The sequence below is a fragment of the Homo sapiens genome, chromosome 5 (assembly GCF_000001405.40).
Source record: "Homo sapiens chromosome 5, GRCh38.p14 Primary Assembly".
Classification (NCBI taxonomy): domain Eukaryota; kingdom Metazoa; phylum Chordata; class Mammalia; order Primates; family Hominidae; genus Homo; species Homo sapiens.
The window spans coordinates 127,935,998-127,958,482 of NC_000005.10; the positions used below are offsets into that span (position 1 = coordinate 127,935,998).

Below are 22,485 nucleotides of genomic sequence, written 5' to 3' on the forward strand. Positions count from 1 at the left end.
AGAGGCTGAGGCAGGAGAATCGCTTGAACCCGGGAGGCAGAGGTTGTGGTGAGCCAAGATCGCACCATCGCACTCCAGCCTGGGCAACAAGAGCGAAACTCCGTTTCAAAAAAAGAAAAGAAAAGAAAAAAAATTATCAAAGAGATGTTACAGAAATAATTCCTATACTGGTAGCAGATGAGGCTAGATCACCCCAAAAATGTAGTCAACGCTCAGTCTTTTAAGGTACTCCTTCAACTACAGTCACCTCTATTGTTATCTATTTAGTTATTATTAGTCATTTTTGATGTAACTTTCACATGTCACTTTTCTCAGAGCATAAAGGTTTTGAGGGTATGAAGAACAGGAAGCTGGAAATGGCCAAAGGCAAGGTCATATTTTCTTCTGGGCCTTTGGTCTTTCAAGGCTGACATAGAAAAGTGAGTACAGCCTGGGTCAGCCGAAGGCAGAATGCTGGGACTGCCTCTCCTCTCACTAAATCTTTCTAACCCTGCCCAATTCCCACCGGCCATCCCCTATAGTCTTTTTGCGAGAACTGTACACCATCATTCTCAGTCCTGACTTACATCTATTTTAAGTCATAGAAGAAAGAGGGAAAATGATGAAGAATGATGTATGACTGTAAAAACCCCTTCAGTAGTGGCGAAAGTGATGAGTTTATACCCTCACTGTTGCTAATCAGGTTTTTCCTCCGTCTCACATAGAAGAGCCTTTCTTGTTGCAATCTCTGGGTTTCCTGGATCCTGTGGGTGTGGGGTTAAGGCTGAGAAAATCTGGTCAGATAACAGCACCTCCAGGCTTCCGGGAGACCCGCCTTGGCAAGACTGAGCTGCCAGCAGAAGCCTATGAGGGACCACAGGTGTGTGAAGTGTGGGACATGTAGAGCTGTCAGGACTTTGGGGACACACATCACTTCCTGTTACAGATGAGGGAGACTAGATGGGGGGAGAGGAGTGAGATGGTTAGTGGTAGATTCTAGAAAACTCACTGGGGTGGCCTTGGGCACTTTCCAATACAAATAGGACTTGAGGCTCTTGAAGTCCCCCACTTTGCTAAAGAGTTTTAAACACTTTTGTTAGTTGTAATGTATTTAGAAATGGAACAAAATATTTGTGTTTTATATGTGTAAAGAGACTAGTAGTAAAATATACTTGTATGAGAATTTTTTTAATTTTAGTATGTCTTTAGGTTGTCTATTAGTATTTTCATTTAATACATGAGAACAGTACAATGGGAATCCTCATGCCATCTCTCTTTTTTTCAGCATCTACTCTACCCCTTTTCTGACTGTCCTCTTCTTGTGCTATGGACTGAATTATGTCTCCATCAAAATTCCTGTGTTGAAGCCCTAGCCCCCGACTAGATGGCATTTGGAGATGGGGCCTGTGGGAAATAATTAGGCTTGGATGGGTTCATGAGAGTGGGCCTTTCATGATGCAGCCAGTGCCCTTATAAGAAGAGATATGAGAGAGGTTTTGGTCTCTCTCTTTCTGCCATGTGAGGACGCAGCATAAAGGTGGCCAGGAAGAGAGTCCTCACCAGAACCTGACCATCCTGACACCCTGATCTGAGACTTCCAGCCCCCAGAACTATAAAAAAGTTTCTTGTTTAAGCCACCCCATCTGTAGTACTTTGTGATAGCAGCCCAAGCTGCCTAGACACTTGCTTCTCCTCTCATTTTCTTTCCACCTTCTCCCTGTAATACTCTCTTCCAGAAGGGCGATGTGGTCCTAGTGACCGTGACTGCCTATGCAATGCCGCTTCGCCGCATTTTTGCTGCTGTATCATTAGAGCTGGGTGAACTCTACCTATACTGCATTGTCTAAAAACGTTTTGACCAGTTTGACCAGGGGTGACACTAAACTCCTTTCTTCATTGTACAAATCCGTTGAAAATAACTCATTCTAAAAGCAGAGGAAAAACTGAGGAGAGAAAAGATGGAAGGAGAAGTCAAAGAGGAAGAAGACGTCAGACAGGCACAGTGAGGTTCCAATGCACCCCCCTCCACCCCTGCCCCCTGCTGAGGCCCTGCATCCCCCACTGTTCACTGCTCCTCTCCTCAGCATCTTCCCTGGCCACTTTGCTGCCATTTTCCTTCTCCTACTCCTGATGAAACTCACTTCGACCCACCTGAATCAGTTTCTTATGTAGTTTAAGGAGTAGCTTAGGGACTGAGAGAAACATTACTGTCAGTCACGGATACAAAAGCCTGCTACCTGGGTACCTACACACCTGCTTAAGGTGGGGCAGCTTTGCTGTGGTAGTGCATTCAGGCAAGAAATCACCCATTCCCCAGCAAATAAAATTAATTGGCAGTCATCACTTTTTGCCAAACTTTGATTTCCATGACTCCATCCTCTGGGGTAACAGAAAAATAATCTGTGTGCCAATGCTTGAGGACCAGAGATCCTCCCTCTCAAACAATATCTGTGCAGGTTAACTAGAGCCATCTCCAGGTAACACATCCACCTGGGTTTCAGAGAGAGCTCATCTGGAAGGAAATGCTAGCCCAGCATTATCCAACAGAAATATAATGGGAGCCACAAATGCAAGCCATGTATTTTAAATTTTCTAGGAGCCACATTTTTAAAAACATAAAAATAAGTCAGTTAAATTATTTTAAAAATACATTTTCTTTAACACAATGTATTCTAAATATTATCATTTTAATGCATAAGCAATATAGAAAATTTGAAGTATTTAACATTTTTTAAACTAAATCTCCCAGTCAAATGTGTATTTTACATTAAAGCACATTTTTATTCAGACTAGCCACATTCCATTGCTTAATGGTCACATGTGACTAGTGACTACTGTATTGGACAGCACAGCTCCAGCCAAATGAAAGGAAAGGTGAGACCCTGGCACATCAGGAGATGAGGAAGGCCTCCTGCCATATGGACTCCCTCTCCTGGGCTGGAAAGCACAGGCATGAAAGGAAAGGTGAGAGCTTGGCACACCAGGAGATGAGGAAGGCCTCCTGCCATATGGACTCTCTCTCCTGGGCTGGAAAGCACAGGCTTATCGCAGAGGCAATGAACTAAATGCTTTTTTGAAATTTGAGCTGTTTTCCCGTTGCTTGTTAACTTATGAAAGGCACTCAAACCAACATCTTTTTTTTTTTTTTTTTTTTTTTTTGAGATGGAGTCTCACTCTGTCGCCCAGGCTGGAATGCTGTGGCACAATCTCAGCTCAATGCAACCTGCAACTCCCAGGTTGAAGTGATTCTCGAGCCTCAGCCTCCCGAGTAGCTGGGATTACAGGTGTGCACCACCACACCTGGCTAATATTTGTATTTTTAGTAGAGATGAGGTTTCACCATTTGGCCAGGCTGGTCTTAAACTCCTGACCTCAAGTAATCCACCTGCTTCAGCCTCCCAAAGTGCTGGGATTACAGGCGTGAGCCACCGTGCCCCACCTTCAAACCAACATCTTAAATATTATTGTTATAATATTAAACATTCTAACAAATTCAGAGCAAAAATTTCCCCATGGATTCTTAAATGTTAGTAAAGAGCTAATAATTTCTAAGAGCAGAGAATAGCCTGTTGTCTCCTCTTATCACTTTTATGAAGCCAAAAACACCCTGCCCACTGTGCAATATGCTGCCAAAGATTTTACCCCTTGATCCCTTGGGAATGTGATGACTGCCAATTAATTTTATTTGTTGAGAAACGGGTTATTTTTATGTTTTTTTTTTTTTTTGCCTGCGCGCACTACTACAGCAAAGCTGGTCCATTTTCAGCAGGTGTATAGGTACCTAATAGCAGCAGGCTTTTGTATCTGAGACTGACAGTAATGTTTCTCTCAGGTGAAGCTGTGAGATTTGTTTTCACTGGGAATCTCATAAATGTGGGACCTCAATTGTAACAATCTACCGTGGAGACCACGCATCAGGTTCATTCATACATGCCATAAGCTCCATTAGTGCTGAAATGATACCCAAGCCCTTGATATCTCTTCCTACTTATACCTAAGTCTGCCTTTTATATAGCTCCGAGACATTTAATGCTGGAAATTTTGAGAGTGGTGGGGTACTGCTAAAGGCTAGTAAGATGGACTTGAGTTTAAGGTGCTGCATTTTTTGATGGGCTAGAGAGGTGTGTTTTCAAGGACTCCTTATGGCCACTCATCTTTTATCTCTTTGTGGAACCTCTCTCTGTCCTTTCTGACTCAGGCCTTTATCCTCATCTGAGTGGTTAACTGATAGAAATTGATAAAGGATAAGCTTTCATGTCCAAGAGGTATCTGTGATTTTATTAAGAAGTGCCAAAAAGACTTCAGGCCTAAAAGAAATGAATCTGTATGGGAAATACCATGCTAATAGAGTTTTCCTGGATCACCTCAAATTGCATCCTTGCCGACTCTAAAGCTGACTTGGGTTAAGAAACTAGTCTTTCCTCATTATCACTTTCCCCAGAAAGGGCAATGGCAACCTTTTCGTTATTTATTTATTTATTTATTTATTTATACACAGAGTCTCGCTCTGTCGCCCAGGCTGGAGTGCAGTAGCATGATCTCGGCTCACTGCAACCTCTGCCTCCTGGGTTCACGCCATTCTCCTGCCTCAGCCTCCCGAGTAGCTGGGACTACAGGCGCCTGCCACCACGCCCGGCTAATTTTTTGTATTTTTAGTAGGGATCGGGTTTCACCGTGTTAGCCAGGATGGTCTCGATCTCCTGACCTCGTGATCCGTCCACCTCAGCCTCCCAAAGCGCTGGGATTACAGGCATGAGCCACCGCGTCCGGCCCTCATTTTTTATTTTCAATTGAATTAGAATTCAAATCAAAGCATAATTCTACTTGATTATAGCTCTTGTGAAAGATTCTTAGGGAAAAGAATAACATGAACGTTAGGATGGCCTTTGTTTGTAGATTGGATTTTCATGAATTATTCCCATGGTTAACTGAAAGTTAAATGCATATAAACAAGAGTTGGCAAGGGCTGATGCTGTACACTCTCAAGAGGCTCCCAAGTTTTGTTTTGTTTCTTTTTTCATGAGCACCCAGAATCTTTCCTCTCACTGGATCCAGATTTTATTCTCAGGGTATCTAACCAGATGATGCAACATCTGTGCTCTCTTTTAAGAACGTGAGAAATGAAGCTTTTTCATTTTTCCTTGCTTTGACTTCTGGGAAATCTAATCAAAACTGCTCAGACTTTCCTTTTCTTGTTTGCTTTAGAAGACAGCTTGCTGGAAGGGTTCTGTGGAGGTCTCCCACCTGTGGAAGAAGGTGATAGAAAAATTAGCCTGATAATGGAACTGTCAACCCAGGTTTCCCTTCAGACTGAGAGAATTACTCAGCTGAAAGAAGTTTTGGAGGAAAAGGAAAGGAAGATTCAGCAGCTGGAAGCTGAGCGGAGTCCCCATCCTCCCCAAGAGGTCAAGGACCCTCCAGGATGTTTACCAGAAGCCCCAGTTTTCTCTACTCATGACATCCCACCTGTGGTCTCTGATGAGAATTTGTAGATTCCCAATAAGAAAACAATAAAAGTTTATTAAGTGTCATCCAGGTAAAGTCTGATACCAAATAGTCTCCTAGGTGACAAACTCAAGTTCAAGTTCATGTGTTTGAATGTATACTATCATGTTCGTATTGGAAGGAAACAAAAAAAAGGAAATGTTCAAGAGCAAACACTGAATGTTTCCCCTTTGGACAGTAATAGTCACGTAAACCACGCAGCTGTAGAATACTATGTTTTTAGACATTCCTGGTAGCAGTGGGGGAGGGAAGAAAACAAAACTAGACAGATGGTGAAAGAACTTAGCATTATCCTCTTAGCAGAGATTTGTCACACTGCAAGGGAGGGGTGGCACCAACCCCGTTTAGTATGCAGCTCTATTGTGAACAGAAAGCTGTCGCGGAGGGCCAGCTTCAAACTCGTGAATGCGCGGGTACTAAAGAGCAGGAGCTAAAGAGCAGGAGCCGTCAGCAGAGTAAATAGCCATGAGGTCTGTCCTTTCATGTCCTCAGGAGTTTATTTCTTTATGGCATGCATTTTATTAACATTAGCAAGGATAGAAAGGAAATAAAACTAAAGCAATAAAAAAAATTAAAAATGGGTGAATCAAAGCTGCATTCCTTTGGGAAAAGTGTCCTGGTACAGCATCTCCCTGGGAAAACACACAACACTGATTTTTCCCTTAGGAACAAGACTAAAACCAAAGCAAAATACAATCTTCTGTTATGATTGTACCAATGAGCTGTGAACAGTGCAAAACACTGGCAGGAATAATGGAGAATGGGCAACGGAAACCTGCCCTGTAATTAATGGAATAAAAGAAATCGGATCATATTCCTCTTCCACTCAACCCCTTCAAATAAACTATTTTCCACTCAAAGGGAGCAGCTAGGCACTAACTGTGAGGAAGACTTCGGTCCTTAGTTCTTCCTGTTCTGGTACAGCATGACTCAGGCAAACAGCTCTAGTTTCATGAGTATGACTGTAATGCTAGTTCTCAATTTAATTCAACCAGTTCAACAAATCCTCATCAAATACTCTTCTATCTGGAAGGCACAACTGTAGATGTTAGAAATCACAGCAAACATGAGAATCACCATTTTCACCATCCAGAAGTTCATAGACACACAAGGATCTCCTTAAAGTAAGGCTGATTGTATTGAGAGATGGGAAATGGGAGAAGGGAAGTGGGTGAAAGTGGGGTAAACCTGATCAGCATTGTTTCAGCAGAGGTTCTCAGATATACTGAGCATGAGTAATCAGCAAGAATGTATATTCCTGGCCTCTAGTTTAGGGCCCAGGAATATGCATTTTAATAAACACATGTGGTATTCCTGATGAATTTATTCCAGAAACTACATTTAGGCCACATTGGCTTAGGGATGGCTTCAAGCAGACCTATTATACTTTTGCTCCCAGACTAATAGACAATCCCCAGAAGGAGATTTCTCCTTGAAATCTGGGGTGAGTCTTCTACACTATTTACCTATTGCATAATCTGATTATGGATCCCAACTATCTACAAAACACAGTTTCCAAATGTGATTTTTCAAAAACAAAAAAGGAATTAATTGAGTTCTTGACTCACATAAGATGACTTGTTGATATTGACTCCAGAGTTTCACTACCCCACCACCAAAGAAACCCAAAAAACGTGGGTACTATCGGTAGCCTCTGTTTTCAACCACAGCAAGAAATTTCCCATATTTGTATTTAACCTCAGTTTTGCCTACAATGGCTACAAGTATGTACAGGTGCGGTTCTATATCAGAAATGAAACCAACTCACTGATCATGAATATACACTACCCCAGAAAGTAGTTAAAAGTACCTCTTTATCTTTTCCATAAGGTGCACTTCAGTCCCTACAGAATCCACTTCAGAAATCCCTTCTCGCTGGTCCCTCCTTTTTCTCACCTCCCCCAAATCCATGATTTCCCTGATCTTTTCTATTTCTCTGGCCTAGGTGTCCCTGTTGCAGTCATGAAGGGCCCATTGCCTCTGACACTATAGTGAGACTGAGGGTTGGCATGTTCTTACTGTGTATTTGTAGGAGAAAGCTTTAAATCCTTCTCTTTGTTAAGAGTGGACCATCTGCAAGACAAACTGTCATCTCCACGATTTTGCTGTGTTATTATGCTTACCGAGTTTCCATCTCTTTATTTTACCAAAGATTGTTTTAATCTCATGGGATATTGGGAATGAGATATCCCAGTCTCACTATAGGAAAGTAGAGAGAGAGAGAGACAAAAATTTTCATCACATTCCAGATAGCAGTGTGTCAACTTCTAGATCAGTTTCCCCTGGCTAATACCCTGAGTAGCCCTCAGTATGAAAGCAGCCTTACAGTGGAGATAAAGTAACAGGCAGAGCAGGAGCTGCTATTAATAATTAATTGAGCCTATCACCTCTAAACATCCGAGGACCAGCCACCGAAGAAGAAAGCATCAGGGGTCATATTACCCCGCAAAACCATCTTTACAAGAAGCTGATCTTGACTCAGGTCTAGGTTACTGCCAAATTAGAAGTGGGGAGGAAATGTGTCCCAAAGGTACGAATAGACTAATCTCTGTTAGGGACATCTTAGTAACAAGAAATTTTTAAGTGTCCAGGGTTGGAGGAGAGGGGATGGGAGGAGTATTATTGGCCTCTGAGAAATTTATTCTTTTCCTTTATTTGTTTATTAATTTAATATCTTTTAGAGACAGGGTCTCACTCCGTGGCCCAGACTAGAGTGCAGTGGCACGATGATAGCTCACTGCAGCCTCAACCTCCTGGGTTCAGGCAATCTTCCTGTCTCAGCCTCCGGAGTAGCTGGGGCCACAGGCATGAGCCACCACACTCAGCTAATTGTTTTAGTTTATTATAGAGACTGGGTCTTGGAATGTTACCCAGGCTGGTCTCGAATTCCTGGCCTCAAGCATCCTCCTGCCTTGGCCTTCCTAAGCTCTAGAATTACAGGTATGAGCCACCATGCCCAACCTGAGAAATTCTGAAGTGGAAAAATTCACCTTCCCAGCCGAATCTCTTTGTGATTGTATGCCCCAAAGTTCATTTCTATGTCCTGCCAAACCTCTAGAGAATTGAGTAGTAAACTTCAAATTGTGCTAAATACCGGGTTCAGATGAACTGAAAATCAGATTATAGCCTACACTGTAAACACAAATCTCATTTTCTTAGAGCAAATCGGGTTGCTGAAGCAGTTCACACTGACCATTAAAATATTGCGTATAAATATAACAAAGCAATTAATATGCTAATGATCCTATTTTTTAATGAAAATTCAGCAAATCATCAGGTAATATATCTGATTCAAAAATAACTGAAAATCCAGGAAATAAGGTACTTAACAAGAGTAACACAAGCCATTCTCTAATAGTATAAAAACATTTACAGAACTATATACATAGTTTTAATTCTCCTTTTTCACCTGGCATGAAATTTTCTCAGACAGAAAGTTAAATATGTAACATTTCTAACCAATTTAGGTAAATGTTGGATTTAACAATTTAGTTTCATTGTTATATTAGTGGACTTCCAAATACTTTCATGCAAAGCTGAAATCATAGCAATAAACTTGTTAAAAATTAGCAGAAAAGCAAGCCATTGGAGTAACTGGCCCAGGGATTGCTCTAGTATTCAGTCCAGCAAAAGGAGATAAATTATAGTACTTTCTAAGTGCATTTCTGGAAAAGAATGAATCTAATCCAATTCTAATTATCTCCTATACTCTCTCTGCTTATTCAAAATCCAATCATTTTCTTCTATATTACACTGAAATAAATAATTTTTGGTTTAATGCAATAAAAAGAGAATTGTTGGTAAATGTTATAGGGTTAAGTAAAAATAATGTTTATTTGGCAATTATCGAGTATAGGAACTGCAAAGACAAAACTATTCTAAAAGGTTTTTTTAAACATTTTAAAAAGACTTAGGAAACCAAATGTTTGAGATTCAAAGCTTGATTCTCATAATTTGAAATTAGACAACAAAAAAGAACAGACAAATTATAAAGAAATAATTATTATTTCTCCATGGTTTTACAACAAAATTTTTTATTAAGATTTCCCACACGCAAGAGAACTTTCCTGCTAAAACAGGAGAATTGAGTTCAAGTAGGAAATAACCTTTTTAAAATAGAAGAACAAGTACACTGGGACAAAGTTCACAGCAAAAGACAGGCCTCGCCATGAAATTTCCCACACCTAATGAAATTAGGACTTTTATGGTAAAACAAAACAAAACAAAACAAAAAACAGTTCTTATTTTCAGTTTCCCAAAGAAATCATTTTCAAAGCCAGACACTCTCCCTCTCCCCACCCTCCACCCTCAAGTAAGCCTTGGTGTCTGTTGTTCCCTTCTTTGTGTTCACATGGACTCAAGGTTTAGCTCCCACTTATAAGTGAGTTTAGCTCACTTATAAGTGAGAACAAGTATTTGGTTTTCTTTTCCCTGACATTAATCTGCTTACGATTATGGCCTCCAGCTTCATCTATGTTGCTGCAAAGGAAATGAGCTCATTCTTTTCTATGGCTATAGTATTCCATGGTATATATGTACTATATTTTCTTTATCCAGTCTACCATTGATGGGTATTTAGGTTGATTCCATGACTTTGCTATTGTGAATAGTGCTGCAATGAACATATGTGTGCATGTGTCTTGTGGCAGAATGATTTATGTTCCTTTGGGTATATGCTCAATAACGGGATTGCTAGGTCAAATGGTACTCTGTTTTAAGTCCTTTGAGAAATCGCCACACTGCTTTCCACAATGGCTGAACTAATTTACATGACCACCAGCAGCATATAAGCATTCCCTTTTCTCTGCAACCTTACCAGCATGTCTTCTTTTTTTTTTGACTCTTTTTTGTTTTCTTTTTTTTGAGACGGAGTCTCGCTCTGTCACCCAGGCGGAAGTGCAGTGGCGCCATCTCGGCAAGCTCTGCCGCCTGGGTTCATGCCATTCTCCTGCCTCAGCCTCCCGAGTGGCTGTGATTACAGGCGCTCGCCACCACGCCCAGCTAATTTTTTGTATTTCTTAGTAGAGACGGGGTTTCACCATGTTAGCCAGGATGGTCTCGATCTCCTAACCTTGTGATCCACCCACCTCAGCCTCCCAAAGTGCTGGGATTACAGGCATGAGCCACCATGCCCGGCTTTTTTTGACTTTTTAATAATAGCCATTCTGACTGACGTGAGATTGTATATTATTGTGATTTGGATTTGCATTTCTCTAATGATTAGAGATGTTGAGCATTTTTTCATGTTTGTTGGCCACATGTATATCTTCTTTTGAAAAGTGTCTGTTCATCCCCTTTGCCCACTTTTTAATGGAGTTGTTTGTTGTTTTCTTGGTAATTTGTTTAAGTTCCTTATAAATTCTGGATATTAGACCTTTATAGGATGCATATTTGGCCAATTTTTTCTCCTCTTCTGTAGGTTGTCTGTTTATTCTGCTGATAGTTTCTTTTGCTGTGCAGAAGCTCTTTAGTTTAATTTGGTCCCATTTGTCAATTTTTGTCTTTGTTGGAATTGCTTTTGGTGTCTTTGTCACGAAATCTTTGCCCCGACCTGTATCCAGAATGGTGTTTTCTAGGTTATCTTCCAGGGTTTTTATAGTTTTAGGTCTTAACATTTAAGTCTTTAATCCATCTTGAGTTGATTTTTGTATATGGTGTAAGGACAGGGTCCGGTTTCAATCTGCTGCATATGGCTACCTAGTTATCCCACCCAGACATTTTTTGAATATAGCTAGTGTCCCACCATTTTTTGAGTACAGCTTCCTTTTCCCGTTGCTTGTTTTGTAAACTTTGTCAAAGGGCAGATAGTTGTAGGTTTGTGGCAGTATTTCCAGGCTCTCTATTCTGTTCCATTGGTCTATGTGTCCGTTTTTGTACCAGTATCATGCTATTTTCATTACTGTAGCCTTGTAGCATAGTTTGAAGTCAGGTAATGTGATGTCTCCAGCTTTGTTCTTTTTGCTTAGAATTGCCTTATCTATTTGAGCTCTTTTTTGGTTCTGTATGAATTTTAAAATAGTTTTTATTTCTAATTTCATGAAGAATATCATTGGTAGTTTAATAGGATTAGCAATGATTCTCTAAATTGCTTTGGGCAGTATGGTTATTTTAGCAATATTGATTCTTCCTATTCATGAGCATGGGATGTTTTTCCATTTGTTTGTGTTATCTCTGATTTCTTTGAACAGTGTTTTATAATTCTCATTGTAGAAATCTTTCATCCCTCTGTATCTAGCTGTATTCCTAGATATTTTATTCCTTTTTTGGCTATTGTGAATGGGATTGTGTTCTTGATTTGGCTCTCAGTTTGGATGTTGTTGGTGTATAGAAATGCACAAATGATTTTTGTACATTGATTTTGTATCCTGAAACTTTGCTGAAGTTGTTTAGCGGATCTAGAAGCTTTTGCCGAGACTATGGGGTTTTCTACATATAGAATCACATCATCTGCAAACAGAGATAGTTCGACTTCTTCTCTTCCTATTTGGATGCCTTTTCTTTCTTTCCCTGGACTGAGTGCTCTGGCTAGGATTTCCAGTACTATGTTGAATAGGAGTGGTGACAGAGTACATCCTTGTGTTGTTCCAGTTTTCTAGGGGAATGCTTCCTGCTTTTGCCTATTCAGCATGGTGTTGTACATTTTCAATAATATGAGCTTGTGGCAGGATGACATTTAATTATCTGACCATTTCCATCTCTATGGTTTATTATTGTTTTTTGTTTAACAAAGAATGACCCTTAGTGCACAATTCCAGTAGTACCCAATCTTTCTGTTCTTGGATGGGAAAATCACATGGCATGTGGTCTAATAACTTTTTAATCCATTTTCCTAAATGTCACAAATAAGCTTCACCAACAGTTCATTATCTGATATCACCCTTTTCATATAGCATGATGATATCACAGGCAATGGATGATAGCAGAATGGAAGAGAAAGAACTAGCCCTAAACCAGCCCTTTGTCATATGAGGTCCAAGCAATGATAACAGTGAGTTATCATTAAAAGAAAAATGCTGATAATATAATATTTGGCCTTGCAATAAAAAAGTGTGCCTTATTGCCTAGCTCCTATTGAAATACAGTTGGTGTGGTGATAGTGAAAGGAACAACAAATACCCATCATGGATGCCCACTATCTTGTTCCGGACCTGCATTTACTAACCATCAGCTATATATATATATAGGAATGTAACTAATATTTACACAGCAATTTACAGTTATTTAAAACATTTCAAATAGATTATTTTATTTGATCATCATGAGAAGGTTTTAGCTAGATAACTAGTCCTAAAGTTATAAAAAGAAAATGCCAGAACCAGGATCTGTAGCCCCCAGGCCAGTATACATTTCATCACTCACCACTCCTGTGCAGTTAGACAAAAAAGATATGTATTTCTTATACCCCCTTTCTCAAGTCAGCCTCCATCCCATTTATAAGAAAAACAGCTTTCCATGGGTATCTTCTTTCTCATGCTTGCTCCACTATAGGGGGTCCAAAAAGTGGTCCAGATTCAACTGACCGACTGTTTGGTTTGGCACAGAACAGTGTTTTGTTTTTTGTTTGCTCATTTTGTTTTATTTTGTTTTGTTTTAAAGTAAATTCTTTTAAGAAGGGTAGGGGCTCACTCTACAGTTTGCTCCAGGTTCCACCATTTCCTATTGTTTTATGCAGGGCTGCTTAAGGCATTTGTCTTGCCTGCCTGGTCTTATAGGTGTGTAAACCCTTCCTGAAATACTCTCAATTGTGTATACCAGGTCTGATTTGGTATGCTATGGTTGTGAACTTCTGATTTATAGTCTAAAATAAACGTTCAAAATGAGTGCATTACATCCTACATTTAACATTAATACATATTTCCAAATGTATAATAAAGAAGGAAAAGAAAATCTAAAGGAAGTTACTAATGAGGCCCACTGCCTCATTCTCATGACTTCAAGACAGCTTATAAATCTTTCTTTTTCAATCTGTTTCGTATGCAGTGGGGAATTCTGATAGCAAAATGTCATTTTATCCACATCACGAGCATAGGTAAATAGGTAAGTGATTACTACCAGAACCAGCATTTTCTGAAGGCAGGAGACCCACATATAGACATTCTTCTCACTTGATCTTCAAACTTGCCTTTAAGGTCAGTGGCCTGATCGCATGGACTTCAACTATATGTCCTAGAACCTGGGTTATTCAAGCCTAAATGACACCCTCTGTGGGATACCAGAAGTCCTATAAAAATCTATATTTAGGAGGAAATGTTCTCAATACACACTACTTTACAGACTGCTTAGTATCTCAATCTGTGCATCTGCACTCAGATATATGGTGACTTCCATCTCAAGAAGTAGGTATTTGCATTCTCATAATTAAATGACCATTTTTGTGACTTTCTAATATAAAGGAAGGCATCTCCAAAGATGAATTAAAGTCATAACTCTAGAAATCCAGCTGCTGATAACTCATATGAAAATTTTGTATGTCTTTTTTGTTTGTTTGTTTGTTTTTTGTTTGTTTGTTTGTTTTGAGACAGGATCTCACTCTGTCACCCAGGCTGGAGGGCAGTGGTACAAGCATAGCTCACTGCAACCTTGAACCTCTGGCCTCAAGCAATCCTCCCACTTCAGCCTCCCTGGTAGCTAGGACCACAGGCACATGCCATCACACCTGGCTAATTTTTTAATTTTTTGCAGAGACGGGGTTTCAATTTATTGCCTAGCCTGGTCTTGAACTCCCGGCCTGAAGCAATCCTTTTGCCTTGGCCTCCCCAAAGCACTGGGATTACAGCTATGAGCCACCAAGCCTGGATTCATATGGGAGTGTTTAAGCTAAAACAAAGTCTCTTTCTCTGCCATACCATCCTCTACTAATCAAAGACTTACAGAGCAGTACCACTATAAGCTGAAGTATAAATCTTCTCACCACACTGTCATTTTTGTTAAAATTTTCTATTTTTTAAAAATAGATTAACAGCCAGAGTATATATTCACTCGTTCACTCAAGAAAGTTACTGAATACTTATTCTGATCTTGTACATATCATATGCTCTAGCAATCATGTCAGATATCTAGATTTAGCCCAAATTTATACATAGAATAATATAGTTTCTTATTATTGCCTCAGAGATGTTTACTATACCTTTTAAGTTTATTAAATAGTAGGTTCAAGAAATGGCTGGTAAAAAGAAATCAGGAGAAGGTTTCCTATGCCATAGTTTCTCTTACAAATATATTTGAAATTGATTAGAAGGAACTTTTTTTTTTTTTTAATTCTCCATGCTCTGGACCTTCTGGAGAGGATGAATGCTACTTTGTAGGGGCAGATAGTCTTCAGAGAGCCAGGTGATTTAGCATCTGCAGTAGACTGCAGATTCAGGCACTCAGATGAAGGTCTAGGGCTTCAGTCTGCAGATTCAGATTTCTGAAGGAAGGTCTAGGGATAGAGAAGAGCCGTGGCTTCCTTTCTTCTCTACCTGACCTCCAGCGTAGCAAAGATGCCAAGAATTTAAATTAATCCGATTATCCTCTGGGAGTTACCCAATCATATTATTTTGCCATAGAAACTTAGACCCATTCCGTGAGGTTGTTCTCTAGATTGCTGGTTGCTATATACTTTAATAAACTGAGACTCTGAAGACAGAATATTTTTTTTCCTTCTTGGTGTTTGCTCTGCAGTTGTGAAATATAGCAGTTATCTCGTAAAGATGTCAGAGTGCCTGTGAGTCAGGAGCTCAGGCTGTGGAAGGGCTAACTATAATGTAGGGAGTTGTTTCAAGCATCAGAGCATAGTGACGCTTGCCTGAGACCCCATCCAATACTGAAATTCAATAGGCCCCTAGAGTGATGTATAATTTGAGAGAGCTTATTCCCATCTGCTACTTTTTCAGCAAGAACTAGAGAACTCAATCTTTACTGAGAAAAAGGAACTAAATTTTTAAAAGAGAGCCTGTGTCTATAAGTAAATTTCCTTTTTAGTAATTAAAATTGGAAAATGAAATAGTTGCATTACAAACCAAATGCATGGAAAATATCTTCCAGGGAATCAACCCTAAGAAACATCTGTTCTCATCAGTACTAGTAATAACCTTTAATAGGTTGGGGTATTTGTGATTTTTCCCCATAGGGAAATGTGTGGTAAATCTATAAGTCATAAGTCCCAACAAACAAACAAACAAACAAACATTCTACTGATTTAGTGAGCTCTCTACAGAGCAAATCCTTGGATGAAATGAGATATGTTACGTTACTAAGTGGAAAATTGAGATACAAGTTACTTTTTTCTTTCTGCTACAATAGTTGTCCTATATGTTTGATTCGACTAGAGTTTTTCCAGATGTCTTAAGTAGGCACGATTAACTGTAATAGCAAAAGACTGAACAGGAAACTACTGATCTGAACTTCTTGAGCACTTCGCCCAGATAAATGAAAAGAGAGAGTTAAAATTTTTGTATTATTTCCAGCCAGCACTGAGACAGTGAAGTTTTGTTATGAGTCTGGTGAAAATTACCCCAGAATGAGGTTGATTAGAACTTCCCTTAAAGTGAGATAACTTGGGAAAGCACACCCATACTGTGTCTTACACCAATCAGATGCTCATAGATGCTTCTTCTTTCTCTTCTGGTGACCAAAGTTACGGTGGAGTATAGTGGCTTCACGAAATAAACACCTTAATTGTCCTCCCTGTCAGAGAGCATTTTATAAGAGTCTTCATTCTCTTCCATTTCTTTGAAAGAGTTCTATAGAATCACAGTGGGTTAGATAATGAAATGGCACTGATACACCTTTCAACCTGAAAATAATCCATACATGATTAAGAGAACTAACATTAAAAATTCATTGAGGGCCAGGCACAGTGGCTCATACCTGTAATCTCAGCACTGTGGGAGGCCGAGGTGGGCAGATCGCTTGAGCCCAGGAGTTTGAGACCAGCCTGGGCAACATGGTAAAACCCCATCTCAACAAAAAATACAAAAATTAGCCAGATGTGTACTTATTGTCCCAGCTACTTGGGGGACTGAGGTGGGAGGATCACTTAGGCCCAGGAGGTGAAGGTTGTAATGAGAAAAAAAAAAAATTTGAAATCTTGCAATACTTTTTCATCTCCAGTGGTAGATATTTTTTTTTTCTTTGAGAATGGGTATCACTCTGTCATCCGGGCTGGAGTGCAGTAGCTCAATCACGGCTCACTGCAGCCTCGATCTCCTGGGCTCAAGGCATCCTCCCACCTCAGTCTCCCAAGTAGCTGGGACTACAGGTGTGTACCAGTGCTCCTGGCATTTTGTTTTGTTTTAATTTATTGTGGAGACAGGGTCTCAGTATGTTGCCTAGGCTGGTCTCAAACTCCCAGGCTCAAGCTATCCACCTGTCTTGGCCTCCAAAAATGCTGGCATTGCAGGTATGAGCCACCATGCTTGGCCAACAGTAGATTTTAATAAGTTGTGAGTATAGAATGTAATACCTAAAGTAATCACTTAACAAAAGCTATACAAAGAAATACACTTTAAAAATGGTATAGTGAATCAAAATTGAATTTAAAAATATTCAAATAACACAAAGAAAGACAGAAAAAAGAAAACAGAGAAAAAGAAGAGCGAACAGAAAATAAGAAACAAAATGCAGACTTAAACCCTGTAATAGCAGTGGTTACATGTAAATGTAAATGGCCTAAATACACAGATTAAAACACATATAATGGTAGACTAGACAAAACTATATATCAAACTATATAATGTTCAATATATAGTTTTAAGAAACTCCTTTCAAAAATAACAACATAGACTGATTAAAGTTTTTTAAATAAAAAGAGATGCATTATGCAAACAGTGATCAAAGGAAAGCAAGGGTGGCTCTATTAACAAGAGATAAAATAGGCTTCAGAGGAATGAAAATCACTAGCATGAGAGAGGAACATTATACTATGATTTTTAAAAAGTCAATCGACCAAGAAGACATAGCAATGCTGAATGTATATACACCAAACAGACCTGCAAAACATGTGAAACGAAATCTGATTGAACTAAAAGGAAAAATAAACAAATCTAAAATTATAGCTGAAGATTTCAACACCCCTCTTTCAACAATTGATGGAACAACTAGACAGAAAATCAGCAAGGATATAGAACTTAATGGCACTATTAATCACTAAAATCTAATCAACGTTTATAGAACACTCCACCCAACAAAAGAAGAATACATATTCTTCTTTCTTTTTTTTTTTTGAGAAGGGGCCTCGCTCTGTCGCCCAGGCTGGAGTGCAGTGGCGCAATCTCAGCTCATTGCAACCTCCGCCTCCCGCGTTCAAGCGATTCTCCTGCCTCAGCCTCCTGAGTAGCTGGAAATAGAGGCGCACGCCATCACGCCCAGCTAATTTTTGTATTTTTAGTAGAGACAGGTTTCACCATGTTGGCCAGGATGGTCTTCATCTTTTGACCTCATGATCCACCTATCTTGGCCTCCCGAAGTGCTGGGATTACAGGCGTGAGCCACTGCACCTGGCCATAATACACATTCTTCTTATGTGCCCATGGAACATATACCAAGATAAACCACATTTTGGGCCATAAAACAATTGCAAAAAATTTAAAAGAACTGAAATCATATAGATAGTGTTCTCTGACCACTATGGGATTAAACTAGAAATCAATTAAAGAACAATAATAGGAAAATCTCCAACTTGGAAGCTAAACAATATACATAAGCCATGGGATAAAGAAGTCCCAAGAAAAATTTTAAAAGTACATTGAACTAAATGAAAATGAAAATACTACTATTAAAATTTGTGGGACATTTCTATAGCAGTGCTGAATAGAAGTTTATAGCCCCAGATGTAAATATTATAAATGAGGAAAAGTCTCAAATCAATAATTAAGGTTTCTTCTAAAGAAACTAGAAAAAAAGGAACAAAATCAACCCAAAGCAAGCAGATGGTATGAAATAATAAAAAGAAGAGAAGTCAATTAAATAGAAAACAATAAAACAGTAAAGAAAATCAATGAAAAAAAGACCTAGGATTTTTTTTTAAAATCAATATAACTGACAACCTCCACAAGACTGACAAGAAAGAAGACACAGTATGCAATATCAGTAACAGGGGATATCAGTGTGAACATCAAAGGATAATATGAGAATACTAGAAACAAGTCTATAAACCTAAATTTGACAATTTAGATGAAATGGACCAATTCCTCAAAAAATATGAATTACCACAACTCAGCCAATAATGAAATAGACCATCTGAGTAGACCTATAAATATTAAGGAACCTGGTTTAATCATTTGAGATCTCAAGAATAGAAATCTCCAGGCATATATATATATATATATATATATATATATATATATATATATATATTTATATAGACAGACAGAGGAAATTTATTTTAAGGAATTTACTGATATGGTTGCAGAGGTTGGCAAACCCAAAATCTGTAAGGTAGGCCAGCATATTACAGACCCAGGGAAGAGTTGATGTTGCAGTTTGTGTCCAAAGGTAGTCTGTTGATAGAATTCTCCCTCCTTCATAGGGGGTTGGATGAGGTTCACTCATATTATGGAGGGTAATCTGCTTTACCTGATGTCTGCGGATTTACATGTTACTATCATCTAAAGAGTACATTCATAAAAACATCTAGAATAATGTTTGACCAAATATCTGGTTACCGTAGGCTAGGCTAGTCAAATTGACACATGAAATTAACCATCACAAGGAGGGAACACTTTTCAATTTATTATATAAAGCTAGTATTGCCTTGATATCAAAACCAGACAAAGACCATTAAGGCCAATATAGCTCAAAATATAGGCTCAAAAAATTCTATAAAATAAAAACATATGGTATTCAACAATAGTGAAGAATAATTATAGACCGTGACCAAGTGGAGTTTATTCTAGAGATACAAGACTGGTGCAATATGCTAAATTCAATCAATGTAATCTACCATTCTAACAGGCTAAAAAAATTACCTGACCATATCAATTGATAAAAACACTTGACAAAATTCAGTATCTATAACTAAGAACTCTCAGACAAATAGAGACAGAAGGAAACTTAATCAACTTATTCTCTTACAAAGAACTTACTCTCTTTTTGGAGAGCATTTATAAAAAAACTTATAAGTATCATTATACTCAATAATGAAAGACTGATTGCTTTCCTTCTAAGATTGGGAACAAAGCAAGAATTTCCAGTCTCACCATTCTTATTCAACATAATGCTGGAAATCACAGCCAGTGCAATAAGGCAAGAAAAGAAAAGAAAAGGAATACAGGTTGGAAAAGAAGAAATAAAACTGTCACTCTTTGAAAAGTTGTAGAAAATCCCAAGTATCAAAAACAAAAACAAAACAAAACAAAACAAAAAAACCAAGCCTTCTAGGACTAATAAATTAGTTCAGCGAGGTCTCAGAAGACAAGATAAAAATATAACAATTAATTGTATTTTTATATAGTAGCAATGAACATGTAATTAAAAACACCAAAATAAAAAATGCATTATCATTATAATCACTTTTTACAAAAATGTCTTAGGTGTAAATCTAACAAAACACAGAGGACTTGTAGGGTGAAAATTGTAAAATGCTAATTTAAAAAATCAAAGAAGGTCTAAATAAATGGAGATAAATACTGTCTTTATAGATTAGCAGACTCAATATAGTGACACTCTCCCCAAATTAATATACAGGTTCAATACAATTCCAGTCAAATCCCAGCCATTTTTTTCCCCTATTTAAAAGATCATTCTAAAATCTATATGTGAAGGCAAAGGTACTAGAATAGCTAGAAACTCTGAAAATATTTGAAGTAATGTGGAGAACTTTCCAAAGTGAATGTAGTTATCAAGTCACACATCCAAGAAGCTCAGAGTATTCCAAGCAGAATAATAAATTAAAAAATCAATAAATAACCCATACATATTCATGCATATTATATTGAAGTGAAAAAAAAGCAGAGACAAAGAGAAAGTCTTGAATAAGGACACAGGAGGAAAAGATACCTTACCTATAGAGGAACAAGGGAAATCACCAACCTAGGATTTTATATCAGCAAAGTTATTCTTCAAAAGTGAAGAAGAAATAAAGACTTTCTCAGAAAAGCAAAATTATAGAAATAGAGGACAGATTAGGGGTTGCCAGCTGTAAGTGCTGGAGAGGGAAGCAGGTATGTTTATAAAAGGGCAACATGGGCCAGGCGCGGTGGCTCATGCCTGTAATCCCAGCACTTTGAGAGGCTGAGGCAGGTGGGTCATGAGGTCAGGAGTTCGAGACCGGCCTGGCCAATATGGTGAAACCCTGTCTGTACTAAAAATACAAAAGTTAGCTGGACTTGGTGGCACATACCTGTAGTCCCAGCTACTCGAGAGGCTGAGGCAGAATCGCTTGAACCCGAGAGGTGAGGTTGCAGTGAGCCAAGGTCATGCCACTGCACTCCAGTCTGAGCAAGAGAGCAAGATTCCATCTGAAAAAAAAAAAAAAGGGCAACATGAAGTTCCTTCTGTTGATGGAAATGTTCTACACCTTGACAATATCCTGGCTGTGGTTTACATTGTTTTGTAAACTGTTACCACTAGGGAATACTGGGTAAATGGTACCTGGATCTCTCTGTATTATTTCTTACTGCAAGTGAATCGACAATTATCTCAAATATAAAATTTAGTAGAAAAAAAAACTCAGCCTGTTACGAATTGTTTTTATGTATCCTCCTCCTGGGGTTGACACTATTAAGCTGTGAAAGAATGTAAGCAGATGGCACCCCTGCAGCAGTGGGCAGCAGATGTCCATATCTGTGTCAGGCCCATGCTGGCCTCCTGCTCCAGGTGTGACTCATCCTGTCTGGTCCTGGGCAGAGACAAAGTGTGCTGCTTATTCCCACAGTGGCTGGAGGAGCTGCAGACCTTGGCCTGGCTCCCACGTAGCATCCTGGCATCCATCTGCTAGCAAGTAGCTTCAACCCCCTGCTAACAATGCAACATCTCATTCCTGCCACAACAAGACCTATGTAGCACAGTGGTTCTCCTCAGCTTGGATCAGTGACCTGCTCTAGGGGATTGGGGAACTTTTCACATGCCTTTGCCCACGACTTCAAGAGCACATAAAACTGAGGAGACTCTTTCTGGCCCTCTCCTGCCTGGATCCACTGTGTCACCAGTTCTCATCTATACCTGTCAGCTGCCATATCAGGGTGGCATGAGAGAAAGGATCATTTCCCTGAGAATTGCTATTGCCTAGTTCAAACCATGGTTATAAGTTTCACTCTATTTTCCAAAATGCACACACAGAAAGGGTTCCATCATATTCCCATTTCCCAGATTTGACCATGAGAGATACTAGTTCTATAAGGGATGCTTCTGATTTTTTTCTGTCTTCCTTCTAAACCAGCAGTTTTGAACTTAAGAATCAAGACTATGCTAACTTTGTTATTCCAGTTGCATAGCATCTTTCTTTCCCCAGGGCAATGTGCAAGTTATGTCTAACTTCTCTGGGCTGAAGGGAAACAGCCTTAGGTAAATAAGTGAAGAGAAAAAATTTAAAGAGCTTGGCAATGAGAATAAAGTACATAAATGCATACATGGGTGGGGGGAGGTTATGCTCCTACAGTTAAGTATCTCTGTGTTGTACTGTACATATTAGCAATGCTCCCATATGGCTCTGGATGCTGGGCTTCTGTTACTGATGCTGCATACAACTTGTCTTTTAATGATAATGCAGTCCTATTGCATTAAGACTCAAGACTCTCTTTGAAAGTCAAGAGTCTCTTTGAAAATGCTTATTGATGCGAATGCCTTCATTTTTCTTGAAGAAACACATGCAAGAAAAGAAGCATAAGAGGAAAACCTTGAACAAAAACCCTGAGAAAAAATTAATGATTTGTAATCTCTTGTCTTAGTTTTATCCTTACAATAAAGCTTTCCTTTTCCCTTCCTCTGTGCTGTCTTCCAACTTCCTGATACCTTTCACTGCATGCTGAACCTCTGTTTCCATGTGGGCCCTTTGTGGTGCCTCCCCACTATGCACACAAA

General features: G+C 39.0%; 1 protein-coding gene and 1 long non-coding RNA gene across 8 annotated transcripts in view; one reads left to right on the forward strand and one right to left on the reverse strand.

The window, feature by feature from the left end:
* The window catches only part of CCDC192 (coiled-coil domain containing 192), a 239,292-nt gene extending 233,782 nt beyond the window's left edge, over window positions 1–5,510 (forward strand). For all 6 annotated transcript variants that reach the window (XM_017009806.3, XM_017009807.2, NM_001317938.2 and 3 more), the window contains one exon: window positions 5,185–5,510. In XM_017009806.3, the coding sequence (XP_016865295.1) occupies window positions 5,185–5,471 (287 nt within the window). In that variant the 3' untranslated portion in view covers window positions 5,472–5,510. The remainder of the gene's footprint in view (window positions 1–5,184) is intronic.
* The window catches only part of SLC12A2-DT (SLC12A2 divergent transcript), a 142,736-nt gene continuing 124,693 nt past the window's right edge, over window positions 4,443–22,485 (reverse strand). For both annotated transcript variants that reach the window (NR_152813.1, NR_152804.1), the window contains exons 3-4: window positions 20,807–20,924; window positions 4,443–5,223 (exon numbers count right to left, since the gene is read on the reverse strand). This is a non-coding gene — a long non-coding RNA (SLC12A2 divergent transcript). The remainder of the gene's footprint in view (window positions 5,224–20,806; window positions 20,925–22,485) is intronic.